The sequence below is a fragment of the Homo sapiens genome, chromosome 1 (genome assembly GCF_000001405.40).
Source record: "Homo sapiens chromosome 1, GRCh38.p14 Primary Assembly".
Taxonomy (NCBI): Eukaryota; Metazoa; Chordata; class Mammalia; order Primates; family Hominidae; genus Homo; species Homo sapiens.
This window is the reverse complement of record NC_000001.11, coordinates 247,769,105-247,779,817: the sequence shown is the minus strand read 5'-3', so window position 1 is coordinate 247,779,817 and position 10,713 is coordinate 247,769,105. Positions and strand designations below refer to the sequence as shown.

Below are 10,713 nucleotides of genomic sequence, written 5' to 3'. Positions count from 1 at the left end.
ATTGATGAGGTTTATGAGTTCAAGAAGCAAATATTATGTGTCTGTAGAATACTAATTGGCCAGACAAGCAAGATATTTGTAATGAAAAAAAAGTGTGAATACTTTTTTTTTGAAATTCTTTTTAATTGTAGTAAGCTAAATCATGACCGTAAGTTACATGTACTGGGATAATAAAATAGATAAAAGGAATAAATCAAGAAATAAGCATTGTATTAAATTTAATAACCTCTTAAACTTACAGAATTCATCAGAAGAATTAATAATTTTATTGAAAGAATTTTGAAAAAGCATGCCACATTTTTTCATGTGTCTGTTGGCTGCATAAATGTCTTCTTTTGAGAAGTGTCTGTTCATATCCTTCACCTACTTTTTGATGGGGTTGTTTGTTTGTTTCTTGTAAATTTGTTTGAGTTCTTTGTAGATTCTGCATATTAGCCCTTTGTCAGATGAGTAGATTGCAAAAATTTTCTCCCATTCTGTAGGTTGCCTGTTCACTCTGATGATAGTTTCTTTTGCTGTGCAGAAGAAGCTCTTTAGTTTAATTAGATCCCATTTGTCAATTGTGGCTGTTTTGCCATTGCTTTTGGTGTTTTAGTCATGAAGGCTTTGCCTATGCCTATGTCCTGAATGGTAATGCCTAGGTTTTCTTCTAGGGTTTTTATGGTTTTAGGTCTAACATTTAAGTCTTTGATCCATCTTGAATTAATTTTTTGTATAAGGTGTAAGGAAGGGATCCAGTTTCAGCTTTCTACATATGGCTAGCCAGTTTTCCCAGCACCATTTATTAAATAGGGAATCCTTTCCCCATTTCTTGTTTTGCTCATCATCACTGGCCATCAGAGAAATGCAAATCAAAACCACAATGAGATATCATCTCACACCAGTTAGAATGGCGATCATTAAAAAATCAGGAAACAACAGGTACTGGAGAGGATGTGGAGAAATAGGAACACTTTTTCACTGTTGGTGGGACTGTAAACTAGTTCAACCATTGTGGATCTAGAACTAGGATCTAGAACTAGAAATACCACTTGACCCAGCCATCCCATTACTGGGTATATACCCAAAGGATTATAAATCATGCTGCTATAACGACACATGCACACATATGTTTATTGCAGCACTATTCACAGTAGCAAAGACCTGGAACCAACACAAATGTCCATCAATGATAGACTGGATTAAGAAAATGTGGCACATATACACCATGGAATACTATGCAGCCATAAAAAAGATGAGTTCATGTCCTTTGTAGGGACATGGATGAAGCTGGAAACCATCATTCTCAGCAAACTATCACAAAGACAAAAAACCAAACACTGCATGTTCTTACTCATAGGTGGGAACTGAACAATGAGAACACTTGGACACAAGAAGGGGAACATCACACACCGGAGCCCGTCGTGGGGTGCGGGGAGCAGGGAGGGATAGCATTAGGAGATATACCTAATGTAAATGACGAGTTAATGGGTGCAGCACACCAATATGTCACATGTATACATATGTAATAAACCTGCACGTTGTGCACATGTACCCTAGAACTTAAAGTATAATAAAAAAATAAAATAAAATAAAAATTCTTATTAGAAAAAAAAAGAAAAAGCATGGCATAAAACTGTAAGAAGATATTTGTCGTGTATACATCTGGCAAACAAACCTATATCCAGCATATATAAAGTATATCTTTAAAAAAGTGGAAAAGATTGTCAATCCAGCTAAAATGGGCAAATGGTTTAAACAATCACTTCACAAAAGAGGACACCCAAATGATTAATTCAAAATATAAAATTTGATCACTTGTGTCAGAGAAATGCTAATTATGATTCTATAGTGGGCAACAGCACTCACATCTCATAGTTGGTTACTGAGTCCAATAAGTTAATACGAGCACCCCCATCTTACTTATTAATTCTTCCTTCATGGATAAGTCAGGATAAAGATATCTTATTAATATATCCTATCCAAGAAGAAAAGGACGTACCAACTATCTAATTGTGTTTGAGAATACTGAGTCATAGCTTGAGACTCAAAGATTCCATCTTTTAGAATCTCACTTCTCAGTGGAAGCTGAAATTTCACTCTCTCTCCCTGTGTTTTTCTTTTTTTCTTCTCTCGTATTTCTTTGAATTGGTTTCAGTACAAGAAAGCATTAAGCAGTATATATCTATGATGGCAGAAGCACATATTTTTATATTCAAGGTAATTGGAAGCTTTTAATTTCTAAAATGCTGTGCGAGGAATGAGAGTTACTAGACTATGAACCCTTCAAAAGATAAAGAAATCTGTAAGGAGTGGGAACATACAGATGTTAATAAACTATGACAGAGGTGCCATCTCTTCTGGGAAGCCACCTTGGCCCCCTGTTTTCAATACTTGAACACAATTTGAATTTGCATGGTACTATACATATAAACTTATCCTATGTCAGCACTAATAATACTAAATTTCTAACAATGATTTACTATACTTGAGCTTTCTGAGGAAAAAAGTTTATTCAATTTGGTATCCCAACAGTTTAGAGCTTAGAAAATTATATTTGCTCAAACTCTTAATTAAATAAATTAATTCATTATTGTTTTTTTTTACAGTTTCCATGTTTTTCATTCCTCTACTGAAAGTGAAATTTTCATAATTAAAATATTATGTCTGCATCCAGGCAGTTAAGACCTTGATGCATTAATGTTTCAATGTATGTTTATTACTCTGATTTTACTGTGATGACTTCCAAGTGTAAATCTTGAGATGTTGTGTTTATGAAAGTAAATTCTCCAACTGTACTGTGATATTCTTAAAGTGAAATATGAGTTTTATTCATTCGTGCTTCTCCTCAAATAGCATGCCCAGTAGATGCTTAATAAGTTAATATTGGATAAAGGCAGAAAGATGTCATGATACTTATTTCTGCATTTGCTTCTGCAGATTTTCCTTTATATCACACCTGGAATTACAGATGTGAGCCACCACTCTCGGCCCAACAACTGTATTTGTTATAGCCGAAAACTAGAAACAACTCAAATGTTTATGAACACATAAATCGATAAACAAATTGTAGTATATTCTTACAATGGAATATTTTCCAGTAATAAACATGACAAACAATTGAGGTATGAAACAAGTTGTATAAATCTCAGACTAATTATACTAAGTAAAATAAGTTACACCGTTCCAAGTCTAATTCCACCCCCTCAAAAAGATTACATGGCTTATAGTTCAATTTAAGTGAAATGTGCACTAATCTATAGTGGCAGAAAGCAGATCAGTTGTTTCCTGGGAGGAGGGTTGTTTATGGCTAAAGTGAGGGAAGCATTAGGAAGGAACCAAGGAACCAGTTGGTGTGATTTGGCATAATAATATGTTCATTATCTTGATTGTGGGAATGGTCACACCAGTGTTTACATAAGTCAAAACATAACAAATTATACACTTCATGCGAATTTCTTGTGTGTCAATTATACCTCCATAAAAGCTATTTAAAATAGAATTTAATAATATTTTTTCTAATTTGTTATTTATTTTTAACATGAAAAATACGAATTACTAATTTATATATTTCTAAATGTTTTAGGTAAAATATTAAAGCATTTTATTTTTCTTTTCCTTTGTGTAGGATCCATATTTGTACTTGGTAAGCTACATTCAAGATAAACATTTTATTTATTTTCTAAATAAAATATACAATTTTTACATAATTGTTTTCTGACGGAGTTGGACCAAGATACTATGTAATATGTGAGACAAAAAAGCCATATATATCCGTCTATTCAGTCGCCGCCAGTCTGCATTTTATTCCTCATAAGCCTTGATTTTGTTTATCGTTAAACATATAAAGACAATTAAAATACCCTTGGTCTTCTGGATCACAGACTTCAAGAAAGAAACTAAGAAGCCCTGGAATGCCATATTCCTAAGACATAACCTCCATGGGTAGCAGCGCTTTGGGGCGAGGTCCAGGATGACTGAGGAGATCCATGGAGACGGTGATCACAAAGACAGCTTCTGCATGCTCCGTCTCAGAGCCTGCTTGACCTCTTTGTTCCTCAGGCTGTATATCAGGGGATTCAGCATGGGGATGACCATAGTGTAGAATATGGACACTATTTTACTTTGCTCCATGAAGAAGATGGCACTGGGTTGTGCATACATGAAGAAAACAGTACCAAAAAACAAGCACACTCCTGTTAGGTGGGAAGCGCACGTGGAGAAGGCTTTCTAGCGTCCCTGCATGGTCGGGATCCTCAGAATTGTTGAGATGATGTAAATGTATGAGACCAGGACAATCAAAAAGGTACTGACAATAATGGAGCCACATAAACCAAGAAGAACCAGTTGGTTTATAAAGGTATCTGAACATGAGAGGGACAAGAGTGGGGGAACATCACAGAAAAAGTCGTTGATCTCATTGGACCCACAGAAAGGCAACCTGAAGGTCATGGTTGTTTGAGCAATGGCATTGACTACACCCCACAAGTAGGATCCTGATATTAACAGCACACAGACCTGGTGAGACATGCTCACAGAGTACAGAAGAGGGTTGCAGATGGCGATGAAGCGGTCATAGGCCATGGCAGCCAGGAGGAAAGCCTCTGTGATACCAAAGAGAGACAAGAAAAAGAACTGAGCAGCACATCCGCCAAAGGAAATTGTGTGGTCCTCTTGCATGGAGTTCGCCAGAGCCCTGGGTGCAATTGTGGAGGAATAGCAGATGTCCAACAATGAAAGGCTTTGCAGGAAGGCATACATTGGGGTGTGGAGGTGTGCATCTACCCAGATAATTACAATCATGCCAAGGTTTCCCACCACAGCTATGCCATACAGGATCAGAAAAATCAGAAATAGCATAGCCTGCATCCCGGGACCCCCTTGGAACCCAAGTAGAACAAATTCTGAGACATGTGTAAAATTCACCATTGTGTAAGTGCTGAGAGAAAGAGAATGAGAGAGAGAGGGAGGGAGAGAGAAAGAGAAAAAGAGAGAGAGAGATGGGAGAGGAGGAGGAGGAAGAAGGAAAACACTTATAAGCCAACGCAAAAATTATTTAATGCAATAATGTCTTGGTCTGCTGTGTTTGGTATTTCATGTAAAGAGAAAAGTTCAGCTGTAAGAGAAAGAAATGGGAAATAAATCATTTATGTAGAAATAGTCTGCCTCTATAAATATGGCTCCATATAATTCAACTCTAATCTCAAAATACTCATGTATTTTGAGTAATTTTTTTCACTCCACATCATTAGCTTTTTTTTTAATCTAAAGAGGTCTCAAAATCAGAGCAGAAAGACATGATGACACCTGAGACTCAACTATTTAGTTAGTTTTTCTTTACAAGAATTGTTATCTGGGCTGAGGGAGATGCTGGCAAGTGGAGTTGATTATGTTTGTAAAATCAATTAACTTAGAGTTTTTGGTCACATTTCTATTAGTTTCCTGGTACTATTAAAACAAATTATCTTAGATTTAATAGTTTTAAGCAATAGGAATTATTTAATTTACAGTTCCAGAGGACAAAAGTGCAGAGTAAGCTTTAAAGGCCTATAATATGTTAGCAGGCTCATGTTTCTTTTGGAGGCTCCAGAGAAGAATGTGTTTGCTTTCCTTTGCCAGCCTCTGAAGTCCACCTGTATCCAATGGTCTATGGCCCCTTTTTCTGCTTTTAAAGCCAGCAGCACAGCATCTTCTCTCCAACCTCTGCCTCTGGTCTTACATCTCCTGTACCTGACCATCCTACTTCCCTCTTAGAAGGACCTTAGTGATGACATTGGATCCTTCCAGATAAACCAGGATGGTATCTCATCTCAACATTTTTAATATTCACATCTGCAAATTTCCTTTTACCATGTAAGGTAATATATCCACAGGCTTCATAATTTACCATATGGACATCTTGGAAGGGCACTCTTTATCCTACCATACTATCTGTTTGATATATTTTGAATCGATTTATGACATTTTGGTTATATTATAAGGTGAAAGAAATCTAACAATATGTGCTAGGTTTGTGATACAAATTAGACCTTTTTATTGTAATCATTGATGTGGCTTCTTTCTAAATCAGTGATTATCAACCTATTTTTATTTCTTTTTACCTATAATAGCTCTCTCTCTCGTACATTCCATTATTTATTAAATATTATATACAAAACAATAATATATTTAGGCAGTTTACCTTAGGACTACTTGAACTATAATAAGTTGGAATTCCATTGTGGGGAGTGACTTCCATCTGTGGAATAGGAAGCATGGGATAGAGCAATGCATATGTGTGTAAGTGTGCATGTATACGTGTGTGTGTTTGCATGTGTGTGGTAATTTGTCATTTGGAAATTTCCTGATACTGTTTCTTACTCTATACAAAATGGAAATAAACATACCCTGGGAAGATTCAAAGACAGAGTAAATGGACATTTTTATTCAGAATAAATGCAAAATGGAGATGAATTTGCTCTCTTTTCTTATGAACTGTACCATGGTTCATAAAATTTGTACCATTAATTAAATAACTCTTAATTAATTTATTTCTCAGTGAGAAGGTATCAGAAACTTTTTTTAAAAATTCATTACAACTTTCAATTCTCCAGATCTTTGGGATTTCATGAAACTGTAATCATACTTCTATGATTTTTTGACTTTTCCTTGTGTTCTGATAATTTAGCCTAACTAATATGAGAGCACACTGTTTCTATGTAAGCTTCAGGCTCCAAGAGAAGATTGTGCTGTTTACTTCACTGATCAAACTTGAGCAACTAGAATAACACTTGGCTGAGATTCAAGACTCAAATAAATGTATTGAGTGAATGAATAAATGATTCCTCAATGAATGGAATTGATTTCATGAGTGGAACTGATTTCACATGCTTTTCATAATGGGCAGAGTATAATACAATTTGTTACTTTGAGTATTAGAGTTTATGTTGTTGGAAGTCTAGAGTCCAAGATCTAAAGTAAAGTCTAAGTAGAAACAAACAAATCACAAAGCCATTCCATGCTTAAGGAAAGCAAAGCAAGTCATTTTTATGTTAAACAGTAGTTACAGCTTATGGTCATAAGTGCATGCTGCTGCACTTTTGGGATCCAATAAACAAGGTGTGGATAGTATTATTTTATCTTAGAAGGAGGCAAATTCTAGAGTGGTGTAAACTAAATGACTCCCAGAGAAGCAATGCATGTTCTCATCTCACCAAAGGCCATTCATTTTCCTAGAAAAATCAGTGCAACAGAATCTCACAAACAAAAGGAAGTATCAGCAACAACCACAGAAAAATTATGTACCTGATTTTTGCTTTTTTGAACACTGGAGGACTTAACATTCATTTAACCGAAGGTCCCAGTTTTGGGTGCTTTGATATGAGTATTCATGGTTGCACTGTAATATTAGTGGTGATTAATTATTAATTAATATTACATTGGCAAAAACCACAATTACTTTTGCACCAATCTAATAAACTGATATAGAAAATAAAAGAGCACAAACTTAATTCTGAGATAAAAAGCTAACATTTATTGGACAATTGCTATAGGCTAATCAATCTAAAAAATGTTTAAATGGTGTTATTTTATTTAATGTTCACAGAAGCCCTATGTGCCACATGCTAATATTAGTAAGTTCTACAGGGGAAATTAAGAAATGTTCCAAGTTTTCCTTCTAGAAAATAACCGAGTTTTTCTGCCTGACTCCAGGGCCTATTCTCTTGCCCTCTCATTGACTTGCCATTGTTTTAATCCAAGCCCACATGTCAGGATCAGTGTCTCTGGCAATGCTGTGTGCTAATGTGTTTCGGATTTTTTGCTGGATCATTATCCCTTGGTGCAAAACATTCATTGTACTCACTAGAATCCCACTATCTTAAGAGGTAGCACAATGCAAGTCATCAAGCATGGTATCTAATTCTGATTAGGTCAATAATGAGTTTTGTGATGAGAAATATATGCATAAAACCTTCTGAGACAGAAGCCTTGAAATAGCTGATTGCCAAGATTCATTCATTGTTAATACTATTACTTTTTCTTCATTGTATTATATCTTACTCTATCTGTTTGTTATATCTGTGGAAATAAGGTGGAAAATCTAATGAAACATTAACCATGATGTCACAATACTTCGGTGTTTCTTTGGATTAATATTATAAAAAATACCAACTTATAAGTGAAAGAATATTTGAGGATATGATGGTGTGAAAAATCAATGTAATGTTAGAGTGTTCCCTGAACGCTAAATCAGGAAATGCATTTCTAGCTCCTAATCAGCCAATAGCCCGATGAAAAAGTTGAGCAATGTGCTTTGTGATGTTCGGTAGTAAGATGGATTGAGCAGATTTCCCATCCGAGGCAGGGGCCTAACCATTATAGAAACACTGGGTCATTTGATTCTTCTGAAAACCATATGAGGTTTTACTGTAATTACTCTCATTGTACAGAGAGGAAAAACAAGATTGAGAAAGTCAGAGGCTTTATCCAAGTTCATACTACTAATAAACAGGGAAGTCACACTGTGAGCTCAGACAATTTGGCTCCAGAACCCACACCACTATGCCTATTTATTAGAGACAGGAATAAACTGTTCATAATTTTAAATTTTGTCTTTTTACATATACAAAATGAAATCAAAGCATTATTATTTTTATGATACACTTGTATTTTAAATTTGTATCAGTGATCCTCAACTTAAAAGATCTAAATATTGGTCTACGTGCTTTTAAATAACGATGATACATGATGTTGTAGAAATACATTTTACTCGTGTGAAAGAAACACAGTGATATGGGCACTATACTACAAAGAGTCAATGGAATACAGTGGTTAACATCAAGAACTCTGGGGCCAGAAGCCCTGGGTTCAAACACTTGTACTCGCTTGGACAAATGCCTCATTCTTTTTATATTTTATTAGTCTGACCCGTCAAATGTAAGTATTAAAAGCATGTGCTTCATTGTGAGGGCTAAAGCATTTCATAGATGAAAGTACTTTGGAGATCTCTTGGTAAATAAGAAGCACAATGTAAGTATTTCCATTATTAATAATATTATGTTTAGTACAATGTAAGTGCAATGCACATATTGTCATTATTGTTTTTAGTATAGTAAATAAAATCTAAGTCAGTATTAATATTATTATTGAGTCCATTATTGACCAATACTATTTGTTTTGTCTTGTTTTGTTTTGTTTAGAGATGGGGTCTCACTCTGTCACCCAGGCTGCAGTGCAGTGGTGTGATCTCGGCTCACTGCAACCTCTGCCTCCTTGGCTCAAGCGATTCTCCTGCCTCAGCCTCCTGAGTAGTGGGGATTAAAGGCACCTGCCACCACGCTGGCTAATTTTTGTGCTTTTAGTAGAGACAGTGTTTTACCATGTTGGCCAGGCTGGTCTCGAACTCCTCGGCCCTGGCCTGCCAAAGTGCTGCCAATATTGTTTTAATTGAGGTCTGCCATTTTCATAGATTAATTGGCGTTCATCAGTAAACTGTGATTGACTTGTATTTCTCATCTAATTTACTAGAATTTATATCCATTTAATTGAATTGGTTACAGGGTCTTTGTATAATCATGTTACATTCTCAGTAAAACAAATCTCACCTAAATTTCATGCGTGACTTCTTTCTCTTTCTCGCTGACTCTCGGGTGCCTCATCAACTCTGCAGTTAGTGAAGTCCACACAAAATGTCCACAGCACTGTTTTTCCAGGAATAAGAGTGAGAATTATAATATTGTTTTCCTCAGTGTTGGTCATTTGAGATTTATTCCCCAAGGTTTTATTGTAACAAGAATGGTTTGACTCACTCAAGTGCTATAACTTGGCAAGAAGGCAGAATGAAGTCCCAGAGTAAAGATTTGAGAGCAAAACATGATGCCAATCATGATGCCTATCTTTTAAACAATAATAAGTATACCATACTTGTCAGTTTTGAGGATGAAAACTTTAATAGAATTTGATCTGCTTTTACTTTAGGCCCCATGACCACAGATCTAGAACAGTATAAACACATATGATCAAATCTATATAACATCTGTCAGGTGCCTAAATTTCTGATGACCTAAGCAAATTCAAGGATAAAAATACATTATTTAGATATATTTCTTAATACATTTAAAGTTATATTTGGGTTACTGTGATTTTAATAGAAAATAGGTAGTGAACAAGAAGTAAGGACTTTGCTTTATGTGTTTCTGATTATAATGACAATGAATATCCAAAGCACTTATAATAATTGCTGTTAATATATGTTAGGTATTAACCCATATAACACAAGAAAGTGATTGCTTATATTATCTTTGAAATATTTATACACAGCGTATTATTTCCTGAATTGTGTATTAAAAAATTAAGGGACTGAAACATCAAGAAAGCATTGATTTTCCGTTCCTGAGTTACTTCACTTAGAATAATAGTCTCCAGTTGCATCCAGGTTGCTGCGAATGCCATTTATTCATTCCTTTTTATAGCTTTAGTAGTATTTCTTCATACATATATACCACAGTTTCTTTATCCATTCATTGATTGATGGGCATTTGGGCTGGTTCCACATTTTGGCAATTGTATATTGTGCTGCTATAAACATGTGTGTCCAAGTATCTTTTTCGTATAATGACTTCTTTTCCTCTGGGTAGATATCCAGTAGTGGAATTGCTGTATCAAATAGAAGATCTACCTTTAGTTCTTTAAGGAATCTCCACACTGTTTTCCTTAGTGGTTGTACTAGTTTACATTGCCACCAGCAGTGTAGAA

At 35.3% G+C, this 10,713-nt stretch overlaps 1 pseudogene across 1 annotated transcript; it reads right to left on the bottom strand.

Moving 5' to 3' along the window:
• Nucleotides 1-293: 293 nt before the first annotated feature.
• OR9H1 (olfactory receptor family 9 subfamily H member 1 pseudogene (gene/pseudogene)) lies at nucleotides 294-9,649 on the bottom strand (annotated as a pseudogene). Its single transcript, NR_172917.1, has 2 exons — nucleotides 9,564-9,649; nucleotides 294-5,095 (listed from the first exon to the last, which is right to left on the bottom strand). The product of NR_172917.1 is annotated as an olfactory receptor family 9 subfamily H member 1 pseudogene (gene/pseudogene) (transcript).
• Between the last annotated feature and the right edge of the window lie 1,064 nt (nucleotides 9,650-10,713).